At 44.7% G+C, this 18,357-nt stretch overlaps 1 pseudogene, besides 6 other annotated features; it reads right to left on the bottom strand.

The window, feature by feature from the left end:
- Positions 1-677: 677 nt before the first annotated feature.
- Positions 678-17,864, bottom strand: LOC112268032 (cytochrome c oxidase subunit NDUFA4-like; annotated as a pseudogene).
- Positions 7,718-8,371: an enhancer, noted in NCBI's record as "OCT4-NANOG-H3K27ac hESC enhancer chr9:90031115-90031768 (GRCh37/hg19 assembly coordinates)". NCBI's record gives its function as "activates a minimal SCP1, AML or CMV promoter by ChIP-STARR-seq in naive and primed H9 embryonic stem cells {active_cell/tissue: H9 hESC(naive and primed)}" and the evidence as "EXISTENCE:reporter gene assay evidence [ECO:0000049][PMID:30033119]".
- Positions 12,954-13,607: an enhancer, noted in NCBI's record as "OCT4-NANOG-H3K27ac-H3K4me1 hESC enhancer chr9:90025879-90026532 (GRCh37/hg19 assembly coordinates)". NCBI's record gives its function as "activates a minimal SCP1, AML or CMV promoter by ChIP-STARR-seq in naive and primed H9 embryonic stem cells {active_cell/tissue: H9 hESC(naive and primed)}" and the evidence as "EXISTENCE:reporter gene assay evidence [ECO:0000049][PMID:30033119]".
- Positions 13,608-14,261: an enhancer, noted in NCBI's record as "OCT4-NANOG-H3K27ac-H3K4me1 hESC enhancer chr9:90025225-90025878 (GRCh37/hg19 assembly coordinates)". NCBI's record gives its function as "activates a minimal SCP1, AML or CMV promoter by ChIP-STARR-seq in naive and primed H9 embryonic stem cells {active_cell/tissue: H9 hESC(naive and primed)}" and the evidence as "EXISTENCE:reporter gene assay evidence [ECO:0000049][PMID:30033119]".
- Positions 13,608-14,917: a biological region, named in NCBI's record as "hESC enhancers GRCh37_chr9:90024569-90025224 and GRCh37_chr9:90025225-90025878". NCBI's record gives its function as "regulatory_interactions: DAPK1".
- Positions 13,791-14,364: a transcriptional cis regulatory region, noted in NCBI's record as "candidate enhancer chr9.1038 targeted for multiplex CRISPR interference". NCBI's record gives its function as "positively regulates DAPK1 gene expression with high confidence in K562 cells {active_cell/tissue: K562}" and the evidence as "EXISTENCE:mutant phenotype evidence [ECO:0000015][PMID:30612741]".
- Positions 14,262-14,917: an enhancer, noted in NCBI's record as "OCT4-NANOG-H3K27ac hESC enhancer chr9:90024569-90025224 (GRCh37/hg19 assembly coordinates)". NCBI's record gives its function as "activates a minimal SCP1, AML or CMV promoter by ChIP-STARR-seq in naive H9 embryonic stem cells {active_cell/tissue: H9 hESC(naive)}" and the evidence as "EXISTENCE:reporter gene assay evidence [ECO:0000049][PMID:30033119]".
- Positions 17,865-18,357: the final 493 nt, after the last annotated feature.

Raw genomic sequence — 18,357 nt, 5'->3', positions numbered from 1 at the left:
GCCTTAAGCATGTACACACTCCCTTGTCTGGCACTGCCTCTGCCTCCACACACTCCCGTTGATTATAAAGAAGGAAGGCCAACACCTCCACTTTGCTCTTGGGCTTCATTTCCTCTTATCAGCTCAGGAGGTTTTCTCCTGCAGTTACTGCTCTTGCCCCCCTAAAACCTATTTTTTTTCAAGTTTCAGTTATTTATTTATTTATTTATTTTGAGATGGAGTCTTGCTCTGTTGCCCAGCCTGGAGTGCAGTGGTGCACCCAGCCTGGAGTGTAGTGGCGTCAACTCGGTTCACTGCAATCTCTGCCTCCTGGGTTCAAGTGATTCTCCTGTCTCAGACTCCTGAGTAGCTGAGATTACAGGTGCATGCCCCCACACCCAGCTAATTTTTGTATTTTTAGTAGAGGCAGGGTTTCACCATGTGCGTCAGGCTCGTCTCAAACTCCTGACCTCAGGTGATTCACCTGCCCCGGCCTCCCAAAGTGCTAGGATTATTGGTGTAAGCCACCACACCTTGCCAAGTTTCAGTTATTTATTAATCAGTGTAATCTCCAATAGATTACATCAACATGATTTCATGAATTCAGAGGATAAATATTTCCTGGTTAAGTGGAAAATTGTGAGGATGGCTTCTGGAAGACCTTCATTCTAAAGCAGCTTCATAGTGAAACATTTCATTTAGAAATATGGACCTTCTTTCTTCAGTTTGCTGTAATCCACATTCACTGAGTAGAACTTGTATTAATCATTGGGACCCAGCTTGTTCCAGGGCTCTGGGTTATTCTTTCTGTCCCAACTAACATTTGGATTGAACAATGCCAGACGCAAGACATACAGTGCTGCTCCAGTATCTCCAATAAATACAAAGCTCCAATAAATACAAAGAGGGTGATCAAGCTCGGATGCTTCTTGGCCTGACTGATGATCCGGCGGAGCGTGTTTGCGGCAGAGGACTCCGAACGGAAAGGAGAGAATCAGCCTGGCCATCAGGCCCCTGGGCTAAGTAGTATCTGCACTGAGACTGTGCAGATATCCCAAGTGTTAGGACCTATTTTGTGACAAGTATCACACTGACCCTGGGATATGAAGACAAATAAGTCAACATTCCTTCCCCAAAGCCCTAAATTTCCAGTGGTTAAGATCATATTCTCTTAGGGGAATATGCAAATTTCTATGTGAGCAGAGGTAGCTTAGGGTGTTAAAAGAAAAACTTTAAACAAATTATTTTGAACAGAGTTTAGCTGAGCAAAGAACGATTCTTGAATTGGGCAGCCTCCTAGCCAGAATAGGTTCAGAAAGACTATGGCACTGCCCAGTGGTCAGAGAATTTATGGACAGAAAAAGGAAGTGAGGCACAGGAACAGCAGGACTGGTTACAGCTTGGCCTTATTTAAACACAGTTTGTACAGTTGGCTGTCTGTGATTGGCTGAAACTCCACAATTAATACAATAGTAGGTTACAGTCTGTTTACACATTCAGATAGGTTACAGTTCACTATGTACAGAGGAACCTTTTGAGGTAAGGAGGCAGCTTTAAGCTAAACTTAACAAGGGATACATTGGGTTGAAAAGTTGGGGTGGGTGTAGTGAGGAGAGGCAAGGAAATAATTCCAGTGTTTGATGGAGATTTGGTAGGAACACTAAAAATCATCATTGTTTATTTGGAGCTAATTAAGCCATAATCATTAATAGTAATCTTACTCTCTTTTTATTGGAATTCTGGGCCTCTTTTTACTTTTAATAAAGTGAAATCCTCTTATTTGTGTGAGATCAGTCGCTTAACTTGGTAGGGGTTCTTGAACAAACCTATGGTCTGTTTTATGTGTTTTAATTTTTTTTTTCACTTTTTGTTTTGTTTTGTTTTGTTTTGAGACGGAGTCTCACTCTGTCACCAGGCTGGAGTGCAGTGGCGTGATCTCAGCTCACTGCAACCTCTGCCTCCCAGGTTCAAGTGATTCTCCTGCCTCAGACTCCCGAGTAGCTGGGACTACAGGCACCCGCCACCACACCTGGCTAATTTTTTTGTATTTTTAGTAGAGGTGGGGTTTCACCATGTTGGCCGGGATGGTCTCTATCTCCTGACCTCATGATCCACCCACCTCGGCCTCTCAAGGTGCTGGGATTACAGGCTTTTTTTTCACTTTTCAATAGGTTTACTCATCTTTTAAAATACAGAAGTTTTAAACTTTTATGAGGTTAAATTATCTATTGATTTATAATGTTGTGTTTTGTTGTCCTGTTTAACAACATCTTCCTTCTTCAAAGCATACTCTTCCATTCATTCCTTTAACACTTATTTTTGGAATGCCTACCAAGATCTAAGAATTGTTGTTGACTCCCAACATATTTATTAGGCAATCCTTTTCAGGCAACTTTCAATTTTCTTTGGGGAAGGGAGACAATAACATTTGAACAAATCCATTAATAATTCTGGATTATCATAGAGGCTTTGAGGGACATATACAGAGTGATATGATTGCTACCACCTGGGGAAGGAGTGAAAAGGCCACTGAGATAGGATGCCAAGGGAACTGAGGCCCGAAGGATGATGAGGACCATGTCCCACGCCAGGGGAAATGTCTTCAGGTGGAGGGAAGAGCAACGACAGTAGCTCTCAAGCAAGAAAGGGCATGGTGTGTAGCAGCAGCAGGGAGCAGATTGCTGTGGAGGGAGCTTTGTGAGCAAGGGGAATGTGTGGTGAGATGAAGTTGGGGAGACAGAGCACAGTCATGTAGGGCCTTATGTAGGACCCTGCTGTCCTATGTCCCCCACCTCCTAACCTGACTCCTCTGGAGAAACTTCCTTAATAAATCAAAGGCATGGGTGGGCACAGTGGCTCATACCTGTAATCCCAGGACTTTTGGAGGCCGAGGCGGGTGGATCACCTGAGGCCAGGGGTTCAAGACCAGCCCTGGCCAACATGGCAAAACCCTGTCTCTACTAAAAATACAAAAATTAGCTGGGCATGGTGGTGCATGCCTGTAATCCCAGCTACTCGGGAGGCTGAGGCAGGAGAATCACTTAAACCCAGGAGGCAGAGGTTGCAATGAGCTGAGTTCACACCACTGCACTCCAGCCTGGGCGACACAGTGAGACTCCATCTCAAAAAAAAAAAAAAAAAAAAAAAATCAAAGGCATGAATTCACTCAGTGTCCACTTCTGGGGAACTTGACCTAAGATGCTGGCCAAGTTAATTTCCCCACTAGGTGCAGGAATGATCCAAGGGTGGGAAGGCCCATGTAACATCACTGGAGACCACTGAGAAGCGGCTTTAGTGGAATTTAGACAGAAGCCAAATTGCAAGGATTAAGAAGGAAGAGGATATTGCAGACAGTTTGTCATTCTTTTTGGGTGGCCTACGCTTTCTGAAAACTCTTATTATGTTTGGGATATTTCTAGCCTTTTGCATCTTGCCTCACCAAAACAGAACTCAGAAAATTGAGATTCTCAGCCTCTCTAGCAGCTGAGATGCAGGAATGTGATGTATGCAGCTTCTCATCAGATACACCCATATTAACCACCTGTTCACAAACCAACAGCTTGAGAAAGAGACTTTCTTGTGGGATCTTTTACTACAGTTGACCCTTGAACAACATGGGGCTGGGGCAATGACCCCTGTGCTGTCAAAAATCCATGTATTACTTTTTATTCCCCAAAACTTAAGTAGTAATAGCCTACTATTGACTGGAAGCCTATATAAACAGTTGACACATATTTTATATATGTATTATATACTGTATTTTTACAATAAAATATGCTAGAGAAAAGAAAATGTCATTAAGAAAATAATAATAAGAAAATATATTTACTATTTGATATGGCTAGGCTTTGTATTCCCACCCAAATCTCATCTTGAGTTGTAATCCCCAGTTATTGAGGGAGGGACCAGGTGGGAGGTGATCGGATCATGCAGGTGGTTTCCCTCATGCTGTTCTCATGATAGTGAGTGAGTTCTCAAGAGATCTGATGGTTTTATAACTGTTTGGAAGCTCCTCCCTTGTTCCCTCTTCTCTCTCTCGCCTGCCACCATGTAAGACGTGCCTCTTCCCCTTCCGCCATGACTGTAAGTTTCCTGAGGCCTCCCCAGCCATGCATAACTATAAGTCAATTAAACCTCTTTTCTTTATAAATTAATCAGTCTCGGGTATGTCTTTATAGCAGTGTGAGAACGAACTAATACACTATTCACTTAGTGGAAGCGGATCATCATAAAGGTCTTCATCCTTGTCATCCTCATGCTGATCAGGCTGAGAAGGAGGAGGAAGAGGAGGGGCTGGTCTTTCTGTCTCAGGGGTGGCAGAAGCAGAAGACGTGGAACAGGAAGCAGGAGACACAAGCACACTCAGTGTAACTTTTGTTGAAAAAAATCCATGCAAAAAAAAATCCATGTATAAGTGCATTTCAAACCTGTGTTGTTCAAGGATTAGCTGTATTTTTGTTGGGCGAGTGGCAGCAGAAACTTTGGCTTTTTGAGCAACAGCAGTAGCAGTGGCCACAGCAAGGGAAATTTTGGTTCTTCTGCCCAGTCTTGTGGCCTGGTTTTGGGCATTCTTTTTGGAGACTCAACTTCAGCAACTCTGGTTCTCCAGCACTTCCAACAATATCTTTTTAATAAACTTCTCTTTGGAATACCTACAGTCAATTTTAATTGCTTGCAAACAGGAACTCTGCCTGAGAGAGTAGAGGATGAGAAATTGGAGCCATGGTGGGCAACCTTTTCAAAGTCACAGGAGAACAAAGAGAGTGCTAGTAGGTGGAGTAGTCAGCCTCTGAGTTGGCCCCCAATCGTTATTGCCTTTTAGTGTTCATGTACTTTTGTTGTGCCATGTTGTACCAGGACTGCTCTGTGTGACCAACAGAATACAGAGGAAATAACAGCATGTGACTTCCAAAGCTAGTTCGTAAAGAAATTATAGCTTCTGCATTGGCTTCATGAATCACACACCGTGGGATAATGCTAGCCACCATGTTATGAGAACACTCAGGCAGCCCTGTGGAGATGCTTACACAGAGAGGACTCCACTTGTCAACACAAATTTGCCAGCTTCGGCAGTGAGCTACCTCAGAAGTGGATCCTCCATTTCCATTAACCCTTCAGATACTGCAGCCTCAGCTGACCTGAATGCAACTTTTGACAGACCCCAAGCCAGAACTGCCCAACCAAGCTGCCACTCAATGCCAGACTCATAGAAACCATGGGAGATGAGAAATACTTATGGTTGTTTCAAGTCACTAAGTCTTGAAGCAATATATTATGCAGCAATAGATAACTAAAATATAATGCTTAAAGATGGTTTGTTTTGGCCGGGTGCGGTGGCTCAAGCCTGTATTCCCAGCACTTTGGGAGGCCGAGGCGGGCGGATCACGAGGTCAGGAGATCAAGACCATCCTAGCTAACACAGTGAAACCCCGTCTCTACTAAAAATACAAAAAATTAGCCAGACGTGGTGGTGGGCGTCTGTGGTCCCAGCTACTCGGGAGGCTGAGGCAGGAGAATGGCGTGAACCCGGGAGGCAGAGCTTACAGTGAGCCGAGACCGCGCCACTCCACTCCAGCCTGGGTGACAGAGCGAGACTCCGTCTCAAAAAAAAAAAAAAAAAGATGGTTTGTTTCTATAGGGCAGGAGAGAACTGAATCTATTTATAATAAAAAGAAGAGACAGGGCACATGTAGAGAACTGCTGATCTAAGGGAGAAGAGAACTGAGCAAGGTTCAGAGAGAGAAGGGAGGGAGAGAAGGAGGAAGGAAAAGAAGGAAGGGAGGAGGGAAGGAAGGAAAGAAGGAAGAAAAGAGAGAATGAAGGAGGGAGGGAAGGAAGGAGGAAGGGAAGAAGGGAGGGAGGGAAGGAAGGAAGGAGGGAGAGAAGAAAGGAGATCAAAGATGTAGGGATAGCCTTGGCAGGAAAGACAACCTGTTTTTTCTTGAGATAGGAATACAGAGGGAATGAGATAGATAGGTTAAGGATGAGCATAAAGAAGAGGGTAGATTGAGAGCTTCATCATCTCAGTAAAGTAGGAGTCAAGCAAGATCATTTGCAAGGACTGAGGTAGCCTGGGGTGAGGAGGTCTATTTTGTAAGCTTACATTTATTTAGTGTTTTTTCAACATTAACAATTTTTCTGGGGGCCAAAGCAGGAAGATTGCTTGAACCCAGGAGTTCAAGACCAGCCTGGGAAACATGGAGAAACCCCAGCTGTACACAAAATACAAAAATTAGCTGCATGTGCTGGTAAGTGCCTGTAGTCCCAGCTGCTTGGGAGGCTGAGATGGTAGGATATCTTGAGCTGGGGTTGCAGAAGTTGCAGTGAGCTGAGATCACACCATTGCACTCCTGCCTAGGTGACACAGTGAGACAGTGTCTCAAAAAAAACATTTTTTTTTTTTTTAGAGATAGGCTCTTGCTATATTGCTCAGGCTGGAGTGCAGTGGCTACTTACAGGTGCCATCAGTGTGCACTGCAGTCTTGAACTCCTGGGCTCAATGAACCCTTCTGTCTCAGCCTCAGGTAGATGGGACGACTACAGGCATGAGCCACTGCATCTACCTTACATTTATTTAGTTTTTATTTTGTGCAGGCATTGTGCTAAGGTCCTTCCATACATAATCCCATTTAACTACTCTACCAGCTCTACGAGACAAATGTCATTTTGTTAAATGATTCTTTATAGATGAAGAAGCCAATGCTAATGGGAAGTAGGGAAGCAAGAGGTAAACCACTTCTGTCAGAAACCAGACGGCAGCTCTTTTCACTCCCTACACCCTTTGAGTGGTTTACTTAAGAATGACTGTTGTGAGAAATTTAAAAAGTGATCAACAAGAGAATAGTCAAAGGAAAAGAAAAAAATGTCCTTCAAGAAAATACAGGACACTTGGCCTTCACAATTTCAACCACAAATATAGCCACAAGGATAAACCGACTTTTTCTTAGCTGTTTAAACTGGCTCTGTGCTATCCTCAGCCAGCCAGATATGTCAAGAAACACTTAGATTGGGCCTTGCGCAGTGGCTCACACCTGTAATCCCAGCACTTTGGGAGGCTATGGTGGGCAGATCACTTGAGGTTGGGAGTTGGAGACCAGCCTGTTCAACATGGAGAAACTCTGTTTCTACTAAAAATACAAAATTAGTTGGGCATAGTGGTACATGCCTGTAATCCCAGCTACTCCGGAGGCTGAGGCAGGAGAATTGCTTGAATCCGGGAGGCAGAGGTTGCAATGAGCTGAGATCGCACCATTGCACTCCAGCCTGGGTAACAAGAGCGAAACTCAGTCTCAAAAAAAAAAAAAAAAGAAAAAGAAAAAGAAATACTTAGATTGTTTTGCATGGTACATTTTAATGAAACTTTAGACATAACACCAAAATGTTATGCACATCCTAGTTTATTTTTTGGAAAGGTAAAGCTATCACGTCATTTTGTGGAATGGTTTGAGGAAGCTGCCTCTATTAATATCTAAGGCTCTACGTTAACATAACAAAAGATGATTTCTTCTTTGCTGAAAATGTCAGCTCTTGGGTTAGAAAGTTGATTTACCCCATAAGGAGCCAAAGAGTAAGAAAGCAAAATAATAAAAAGGCATGTTGTTTCTAAAAATGGAGTTGGCCAGGTGTAAGGCTATGATAATTAAAATCAGATGATACTGCAGCAAGAATTGGGAGCTCGGTGGGATAGGTCAGCTGTCAAACAGACTCCTTAGTGTGTTTTAGGAAATAATACATGATTAAGAAAACATCACAATGATTAATCAATTAATTAAAATAGTTCAAACTTAAAAGGGAGTAAGCATCACAGAAATAAAAAATGAAAAAGAAATGAATTATTCTGAAATTGATACAGGTGAAGGCCAATAGCATGCTCAGTCAGGAAGTTTCATGCACGTCCGTGTGAAGAGACCACCAAACAGGCTTTGTGTGAGCAACATGGCTGTTTATTTCACCTGGGTGCAGGCGGGCTGAGTCTGAAAAGAGAGTCAGTGAAGGCAGATAGGGGTGGGGCCGTTTTATAGGATTTGGGTAGGTAAAGGAAAATTACAGTCAAAGGGGGTTTGTTCTCTGGCGGGCAGGAGTGGGGGTCCCAAGGTGCTCAGTGGGCAGGAGTGGGGGTCGCAAGGTGCTCAGTGGGGGTGATTTTTGAGCCAGGATGAGCCAGGAAAAGGACTTTCACAAGGTAATGTCATCACTTAAGGCAAGGACCGGCCATTTACACTTCTTTTGTGGTGGAATGTCATCAGTTAAGGTGGGGCAGGGCATATTCACTTCTTTTGTGATTCTTCAGTTACTTCAGGCCATCTGGGCGTATACATGCAAGTCATAGGGGATGTGATGGCTTGGCTTGGCCTCAGAGGCCTGACATTCCTGCCTTCTTATATTAATAAGAAAAATAAAACAAAATAGTGTTGAAGTGTTGGGGTGGCGAAAATTTTTGGGGGGTGGTATGGAGAGAGAATGGGCGACGTTTCTCAGGGCTGCTTCAAGCGGGATTAGGGGCGGCGTGGGAACCTAGAGTGGGAGAGATTAAGCTGAAGGGAGGTCTTGTGGTAAGGGGTGATATTGTGGGGATGTTAGAAGAAACATTTGTCGTATAGAATGATTGGTGATGGCCTGGAAATGGTTTTGGATGAATTGAGAAACTAAATGGAATAACAGAAGGAGAAAAACAAGTATAAAAGGTCTAATAATTGGGATGACTCAGGATATCTGATTAGAGAGTGCCTAAGGAGATTCAGCATAGTCCTGCCAGCAAAGATTATTTATTTACTTCAAGAGTTAAGAGTGGCAGTTTGGGGACAGCACCAGGAGATATCAGCTGTGATGGCTTGGAAAAACAGTGTAAACCGGCAGTGTAAACAAGAGCAGGGCATGTACGAGTAGTTGAGAACGGTGAATAGGAGTATGACTAGACAGAAGATAGTAGGGATGACAAGTTTTTTGGGGCACAGTCTAAGTTGGTCTGGTGTCTGGAATGAGGCTGGGGCCTAATAAAAAGGAGCGTCTATACTGGAGCTTAAATGGGCTGTACCCTGTAGCATTCTAAGGACAGGCCTGAATTCTGAGAAGGGAAAGTGGTAAAAGTATTGTCCAGTCCTTTTTAAGTTGGTGGCTGAGCTTGGTGAGGTGTGTTTTTAAAAGACCTTTAGTCCATTCTACTTTTCTTGAAGACGGAGGACCGTAAGGGACATAAAGGTTTCACTGAATACTAAGAGCCTGAAAAACTGCTTGGCTGATTTGACTAATAAAGGCTCGTCTGTTATCAGACTGTATTGAGGTGGGAAGGCTAAACTGAGGAATTATGTCTGACAGAATGGAAGAAATGACTGCGGTGGCCTTCTCAGACCCTGTAGGAAAGGCCTCTACCTATCTAGTGAAAGTGTCTACCTAGACTAAGAGGTATTTTAGTTATCTGACTCAAGGCATGTTGAGTAAAGCTAATTTGCCAGTCCTGGGTGGGGCAAATCCTCGAGCTTGATGTGTAGGGAAGGGAGGGGGCCTGAATAATCCCTGAGGAGTAGTAGAATAGCAGATGGAACACTGAGAAGTTATTTCCTTAAGGATAGATTTCCACGATGGAAAGGAAATGAGAGGTTCTAAGAGGCGGGCTAGTGGCTTGTACTATAAGCATAGCCTGCCTTTGCTGGTGTGTGGCGATTAGGCCTGGTGGAACCACCATCAATAAATCAAGCGTGATCAGGGTGAGGAACAGGAAAGAAGGAAATTTGGGGAAATGGCGTGAATGTCAGGTGGATCAGAGAGATACAGTCATGGGGGTCAGGTGTGGTATCAGGAATAATGTGGGAGGCCGGATTGAAGTCTGGGCCGGGAACAACGGTAATTGTGGGAGACTCAACAAAGAGTGAGTATAGCTGAAGGAGCCGGGAAGCAGAAAGCATATGCGTCAGGTATGAGGAAGAAAATAGATTTTGGAAGTTATGAGAACTGCAGAGAGTGAGTTGAGCACAGTTTGTGATTTTGACGGCCTCTAAAAGTATTAAAGCAGCGGCAGTCGCTGCACACAGACATGAGGGCCAGGCTAAAACAGTAAGGTCAAGTTGTTTGGACAGAAAGGCTACAGGGTGTCGTCCTGGCTCTTGTGTAAGAATTCTGACCGTGCTAACCATGCCTAGGAGGGAAAGGAGTTGTTGTTTTGTAGAAGGTGCTGGGGTTTGAGAGATCAGTTGGACACGATTGGCAGGGAGAGCACGTGTGTTTTTATGAGAATTATGCCGAGATAGGTAACAGATGAGGAAGAAATTTGGGCTTGATTGAAGTAATGGGGGCTGTCTGTGAAGCTTTGTGGCAGTACAGCCTAGGTAATTTGCTGAGCTTGATGGGTGTCAGGCTCAGTCCAAGTGAAAGCGAAGAGAGGCTGGGATTAAAGGTGCAAAGGAATAGTAAAGAAAGCATGTCTGAGATCTAGAACAGAATAATGGGTTGTAGAGGCAGGTATTGAGGATAGGAGAGTATATGGGTTTGGCACCACGGGGTGGATAGGCAAAACAATTTGGTTGATAAGGTGCAGATCCTGAACTAAATTATAAGGCTTGTCTGGTTTTAGGACAGGTAAAATGGGGGAATTGTAAGAAGAGTTTATAGGTTTTAAAAGGCCATGCTGTAGCAGGCGAGTGATAACAGGCTTTAATCTTTTTAAAGCGTGCTGCGGGATGGGATATTGGTGTTGAGTGGGGTAAGGGTGATTAGGTTTTAATGAGATGGTAAGGGGTGCATGATCGGTCGCCAAGGAGGGAGTAGAGGTATCTTATACTTGTGGGTTAAGGTGGGGGATACAAGAGGAGGACACAAAGGAGGCTTTGGATTGGGAAGAAGGGCGGCAATGAGATATAGCTGTAGTCCAGGAATAGTCAGGGAAGCAGATAATTTAGTTAAAGTGTCTCAGCCTAATAAGGGAACAGGGCAGGTGGGGATAACTAAAAAGGAGTGCTTAAAAGAGTATTGTCCAAGTTGGCAGCAGAGTTGGGGAGTTTTAAGAGGTTTAGAAGCCTGGCCGTCAATACCCACAACAGTTATGGAGGCAAGGGAAACGGGCCCTTGAAAAGAAGATAATGTGGAGTGGGTAGCCTCCGTATTGATTAAGAAGGGGACGGGCTTACCTTCCACTGTGAGAGTTACCCGAAGCTCGGCGTCCGTGATGGTCTAGGGGGCTTCTGAGGCGATCGGGCAGTGTCAGTCTTCAGCCGCTAAGCCGAGAAGATCTGGGAAGGAGTCAGAGAGCCTTGGGCCAGAGTTCCAGGGGCTCTGGGAGTGGCTGCCAGGTGAGTTGAACAGTCCGATTTTCAGTGGGGTCCCACACAGATGGGACGCGGCTTAGGAGGAATCCGGGGCTGTGGGCATTCCTTGGCCCAGTGGCCAGATTTCTGGCATGTGTCGCAAGCTCCTGTGGGAGGAGGTTCTGGAGGAACGCCTGGCTGCTGCGGTTCAGGCGTTTGGAAGTTCTTGTGTGCTGGAGATGTGGCTGGGGTTTGTCTCACAGTGGAGGCAAGGAATTGCAACTTTTTTCTATTATTGTACACCTTGAAGGCGAGGTTAATTAAATCCTGTTGTGGGGTTTGAGGGCCGGAATTTAATTTTTGGAGTTTTATTTAATGTCGGGAGCAGATTGGGTAATAAAATGTATTTTGAGAATAAGACGGCCTTTTGACCTTTTAGGGTCTAGGGCTGTAAAGTGTCTCAGGGTTGCTGCCAAACGAGCCATGAACTGGGCTGGGTTTTTATATTTGATGAAAAAGAGCCTAAACGCTATCTGATTTGGGATAAAGAAAAAGGTGCATTAACCTTGACTATGCCTTTAGCCCCAGCCACCTTTTTAAGAGTAAATTGCTGGGCAGGAGGGGGAGGGCTAGTCACGGAACGAAACTGTAAGCTGGACCAGGTGTGAGGAGGGGAGGTGATAAAAAGATTATAGGGTGGAGGAGCAGAGGCTGAGGAAGTATTGGGACCTAGCTCGGCCTGGCGAGGAGCAGCCTGGGGAGGAAGGGAGAGGTCAGATGGGTCTATAGAAAAGGAAGATTAGAAAGACTCAGTGACGCTTGGGGTTGGTACTGAGGGGACAGGCGGGAGGGAAAGAAGGAAGATTTGGGGCGAGTTGCACTGGGCACAGAGACTAGGAAGGGACTGATGTGTAAAAGAATGACTGGACGTCAGGCACCTCAGACCGTTTGTCTATTTTATGACAAGGATTATTTAGATCTTGCAGGATGGAAAAATTCAAAGTGCCATTTTCTGGCTATTTGGAACTACTGTCGAGTTTGCATTGGGGTCAAGCGGCATTGCAGAAGAAAATAAGGCATTTAGGTTTTAGGTCAGGTGTGAGTTGAAGAGGTTTTAAGTTTTTGAGAACACAGGCCAAGGGAGTAGGAGGAGGAATGGAGGGTGGAAAGTTCCCATAGTGAAGGAAGCAAGCCTAGAGAAGAGAGAGTGGAGAAACTGAGGGAAGGGGTTTGGGGGTTTTTACTTTCCAGAAAAGTGGGAAAAGGTTGGGGCGCAGAGAAGAGGTCGGGGCGTGGAAATAAGGGATGGGGCGCAGAAATAAGAGGCCGGGGCACGGAAATAAGGGATTGGGGCGCAGAGATACGAGGTTGGGGCATGGAAATAAGGGATTGGGGCGCAGAGATATGAGGTTGGGGTACTTGCCCCTCTAGAAAAGTGGGACTTGCTGCTAAGAGTGAAGGAGAAGGGGTTGAGGGGTACTTGCCCCTCTCCCAGAAAAGCAGAGAAGGGGTAGAGACAAGGAAAGAAGGGGTTGGGGTACTTGCCCTGTCCCCGGAAAAGCAGAGAAGGGGTAGAGACAAGGAGAGAAGGGCTTGGGGTACTTGCCCTGTCCCCGGAAAAGCAGAGAAGGGGTAGAGACAAAGAGAGAAGGGCTTGGGGTACTTGCCCTGTCCCCAGAAAAGCAGAGAAGGGGTAGAGACAAGGAGAGAAGGGGTTGGGGTACTTGCCCCTTCCCCAGAAAAGCGGGACTTGCCGCTAAGGGTGAAGGACCAAGGCAGGCGTCCCTGCGTGGTCTGACACCCTTGAAACGTGGGTGTATAATCAGAGAGGTGTCCCTGCAATGATTAAACACCAAGGGAAGCCTGCCTTCTCAATCCGTGACCGGCACCGGAGTTTTGGGTCCACGGATAAAATGTGTCTCCTTTGTCTCTACCAGAAAATGAAAGGAATTGAAATTAAGAGAAGGGAGAGATTGAAGTGTGGCGCCAAGATTGAAAGAAGAAAGAGGTTGAGGGATAGTGAGGGAGGTTGGAGAAGAGAGTAAAAAGAGGCCGCTTACCGGATTTGAAATTGGTGAGACGTTTCTTGGGCTGGTCGGTCTGAGGACCTGAGGTCGTAGGTGGATCTTTCTCACGGAGCAAAAAGCAGGAGGACGGGGGATTGATCTTCCAAGGGAGGTCCCCCGATCCGAGTCACGGCACCAAATTTCATGCGCGTCGGTGTGAAGAGACCACCAAACAGGCTTTGTGTGAGCAATAAAGCTGTTTATTTCACCTGGGTGCAGGCGGGCTGAGTCCGAAAAGAGAGTCAGCAAAGGCAGATAGGGGTGGGGCTGTTTTATAGGATTTGGGTAGGTAAAGGAAAATTACAGTCAAAGGGGGTTTGTTCTCTGGCGGGCAGGAGTTGGGGTTGCAAGGTGCTCAGTGTGGGTGCTTTTTGAGCCAGGATGAGCTAGGAAAAGGACTTTCACAAGGTAATGTCATCACTTAAGGCAAGGACCGGCCATTTACACTTCTTTTGTGGCAGAATGTCATCAGTTAAGGTGGGGCAGGGCATATTCACTTCTTTTGTGATTCTTCAGTTACTTCAGGCCATCTGGGCGTATATACGTGCAAGTCACAGGGGATGTGATGGCTTGGCTTGGGCTCAGAGGCCTGACAGGAAGGAGATAAGGCTGCTCGCTATCAGCATGGTTATTCTGCCTTGTGGAAAAATATATAGTTTAATTATACCTTCCTTAATGCATCCTTCTAATTGTAAACACTACAGAAGAAATCACAAAGAAGGAGTCATAATTTTGACTCTATTCAGTTCAAACATATAAAACCTCGTGACTTTAAAAAACATTAAATGGCTAATGGCAATCAAGCGGAAAGAGCAAACGACAGAGAGTTAATAAAGTGAATATATGAACATCATTGATAGCAGTAGCACTCCAATAGCAACAGACTATAGGATACGGGATTCACTGGCAAAATAAAAATGTCAGCAAACAAATGGAAATGTCTTCAACCACACTTGTTATCAAAGAAATGCAAATGAAAACAATGAAGTGGTGATTATCACCTAAGAAACCAGTGGGTGGCTCATGCCTGGAATTCCAGCACTTTGGGAGGCCTGAGTCGGGTGGATAACCTGAGGTCGGAAGTTCAAGACCAGCCTGGCCAACATGGCGAAACCCCATCTCTACTAAAAATATAAAAATTAGCCGGGCGTGCTGGTGGCCGCCTGTAATCCCAGCTACTCAGGAGGCTAAGGCAAGAGAATCACTTGAACCTAGGAGGCGGAGGTTGCAGTGAGCTGAGATCACGCCATTGCACTCCAGCCTGGGCGACAACAGCGAAACTCCATCTCAAAAAAAAAAAACAAAAAACCAGGAAAGCTGAAAACGTTGGTAGAGAGGCTGGCAAGAGCATGGTGCCTGCTGGGAGGTGACTTACTGTAGATTCTCTGGAAAGCCATTTGGCGTTATGTATCAATAATCTGTAAAGTTCATACCACAGATGCCTGAAAATCTATATGGAAGAAATAATCAGAAAGTCAGAAAAAGATTCATATGCAAGAATATTAATCACAACGTTTTCTATATGGGTTAAGTATTCAAGAATATAAGAATATTTAAGTAAAATGTGACTTACTCATATAAGAATATAAGGTGATTAAAATCATATTCCTGAAGAATTTTCAGGGGCATGAAAATAATCATAATACATGAAAAATGAAACGTCATGCAAACTATTTATTTTATGCTCCCAATTATGTAAAATAAAGAATTCCATTGGAAACAGAGCATATAATGCTTGCAATTATATGTATATTTAAAAGTACCAAAATATTAAGTGTTTAACATATCAGGTGGACATTCAGGTGATTTTTAATAATTTTCTTCTCCATGGTTCTTCATATTTCCTGTAATGAGCATGAATGTTTTTTTTTTTTTTTTTTTTTTTTTTTTGAGATAGGTTCTGGGCTCTGTCACCCAGCCTGGAGTGCAGTGACATGATCTTGGCTCACTGTAATCTCCGTCTCTCAGGCTCAAGTGATCCTCCCACCTTAGCCCCCCAAGTAGTTGGGACTACAGGTGTGTACCACCGCACCCAGCTAATTTTTGTATTTTTAGTAGAGACAGGGCTTCACCACATTGCCTAGGCTGGTGAACTCCTGGCTTCAAGCGATCCACCTGCCTTGGCCTCCCAAAATGTTGGGATTACAGGCATGAGCCACCACACCTGGCCATGAATCACTTTTATAAAAGAAAAGCATTACTGGAAGTAAAACTTTTCATGATCTCTGAAGATGGTCCCCTGGCTTTCCTGCAGTCAATAGGATTCCAACCTGGGTAGAGAATTAGCCTCTTGATTTAGCATCAAAATTGCTTAAAATAAAGTGAGGATTCCCAACACATCTCAACTGTTTGGGGATCTTTTGAATGAGTTTCAAGTAAGTCTCAGTGAATTCTTTTTCCATACAAACTCAAGTAAATAAGGTGAGAACAGACGCCAATTACAGGGCCCTGGTGGCACAACCATAGCTCACTGAAACCTCCAACTCCTGGGGTTGAGCTATGCTTCTGGCTCAGCCTCCCAAGAAACTAGGACTACAAGTGTGTGCCCCTATGCCTGGCTAATTTTTATTTATTTATTTTATTTATTTATTTTTTTGAGATGGAGTCTTGCTCTTGTTGCCCAGGCTGGAGTGCAATGGTGCAATCTTGGCTCACCACAACCTCCACCTCCCGGGTTCAAGCGATTCTCCTGCCTCAGCTTCCTGAGTAGCTGGGATTACAGTCATGTGCCACCATGCCTGGCTAATTTTATATTTTTAGTAGAGATGGGGTTTCTCCATTTTGGCCAGGCTGGTTTTCAACTCCTGACTGTCAGGCCTCTGGGACCAAGCCTGCACCTATACATCCAGATGGACTGAAGGAAGCAAAGAAACACAAAGGAAGTGAAAATGGCTGGTTCCTGCCTTAACTGATGACATTCCATCATTGTGATTTGTTACTGCCCCACCTTAACTGAGTGATTAACCTTGTGAAATTCCTTCTCCTGGCTCAGAAGCTCCCCCACTGAGCACCTTGTGACCCCGCCCCTGCCCGCAAGAGAAAAACCCCCTTTGACTGTAATTTTCCACTACCCACCCAAATCCTATAAAACTGCCCCACCCCTATCTGCCTTTCCTGACTCTCTTTTCGGACTCAGCCCGCCTGCACCCAGGTGAGATAAACAGCCTCGTTGCTTACACAAAGCCTGTTTGGTGGTCTCTTCACACAGACGTGTGTGACACTGACTTCAGGTGATCCTCCCGCCTCAGTCTCCCAAAGTGCTGGGATTACAAGCGTGAGCCACGGCGCCAAGCCTAATTTTTATTTTTTGTAGATACAGATCTCACTATGTTGCCCAGGCTGGTCTTGAACTTCTGTCCTCAAGCAGTCTTCCCACCTTAGCCTCTTAAAGCATTGGGACTACAGGTATGAGCCACAGCACCTGGCCTCAGGCTCTGTGTTTCTGACAGGCTCTCAGGTAATGCTGATGGTGCTGGACAGCAAACTACAATTTGAGTAACAAGATAGAGTCCCTACAGGCCAGGCACGGTGGCTCACGCCTGTAATCCCAGCACTGTGGGAGGCCGAGGCGGGCGGATCACGAGATCAGGAGATCGAGATCATCCTGGCTAACATGGTGAAACCCCGGCTCTACTAAAAATACAAAAAAATTAGCCAGGCGTGGTAGTGAGCACCTGTAGTCCCAGCTACTCCGGAGGCTGAGGCAGGAGAATGAGGTGAACCCAGGAGGCAGAGCTTGCAGGGAGCCGAAATCACACCACTGCACTCCAGCCTGGGCAACAGAGCAAGACTGCGTCTCAAAAAAAAAAAAAAAAAAAAAAAGATGGAGTCCCTACATAAACCAAAAAGTCTTGATCATAAACCAAAAGATAAGTCTTGATAAGTCTTGATCAATTTAAAAGTTTATTTTGCCAAGGTTAAGGACATGCCTATGACACAGCCTCAGGAGGTCCTGATGACACATGTGCCCAAGGTGGTCAGGCTGCATCTTGCATTTATATGTTTTTTATATGTTTTAGAGAGACATAAGACATCAATCAATACATGTAAGATGTACATTGGCTTGGTCAGGAAAGGTGGGACAACTGGAAGTCAGGGGCTTCCAGGTCATAGATGCATTCGAAGATTTTCTGATTGGCGATTGGTTATTATCTACAGACCCGGAATCAATAGAAAAGAATGTTTAGGTTAAGGTAAGGGATTATGAAGACCAAGGTTTTACCATGCAGATGAAGCTTCAGGGTAGCAGGCTTCAGAGAGGATAGCTTGTAAATATTTACCAGACTTAGAGTCTGTTCTATCAGTCTCAAGGTCTGTGTTGACGTTAATGGTAATAAGGCATGTCCCACCCCCTCTTCCCATCATGAACAGAACTAGTTTTTCAGGTTGACTTTGGAATGCTCTTGGCCAAAAGGAAGGGTCCATTCAGACGGTTACAGGGCTCAGAATTTTATTTTTGGTTTATGCTATCTTAGAGGACAGCCCAACCTTTCCTGCTTACAAATATAAAAGATTTTGAAACAAGTTCATCAGCAGCATTAATTAGATGAGTAATGTGCATCTGGTGTCTGGGAGCCCACATCTAGGGAACTGTTCTAGGGTCATTGGGTCATTAGGAGATTAACAAATGACTTCATGGTGCAAGTGCCTTCACATGCATATGGGGATGTATGTACATCTTTTGAAACAAGTGTATTTTTGTGCATTTCTAGTGAATTTCTTTTAGGAAATTCTTGGGCATTATATTTCATCTTTCCTGATGGAGTTGCATTAGTGATCAAAAGAGCAAACCACCAATCCTTTCCCCTTGTCTTTTTTCTTTTTCTCTTTCACAAAATCTCTGGTCTCTGCATGTGTGTTCAGTAATAGGAGAAGCCAAGGCCTCCTGTGGGTCCTAGGAAATGCATTATCTACGCTAAAAATAGACAAGAGCCCATTGTCTCATGCAAAAGTAAATCCCACATACTAATCCAGCAGAAAGTGATCTAGCCTTTTTAAAGATTTATTAGTTTCTGATTTTCCTCTCTATGCATAACAATTTTTCATCTCATTCTGTGACAGATAAATTGAATTAA

Source organism: Homo sapiens, chromosome 9 (genome assembly GCF_000001405.40).
Source record: "Homo sapiens chromosome 9, GRCh38.p14 Primary Assembly".
Lineage (NCBI taxonomy): Eukaryota > Metazoa > Chordata > Mammalia > Primates > Hominidae > Homo > Homo sapiens.
Note: the sequence above shows the minus strand (reverse complement) of the source record. Positions and strands in the feature narration are given on the sequence as shown.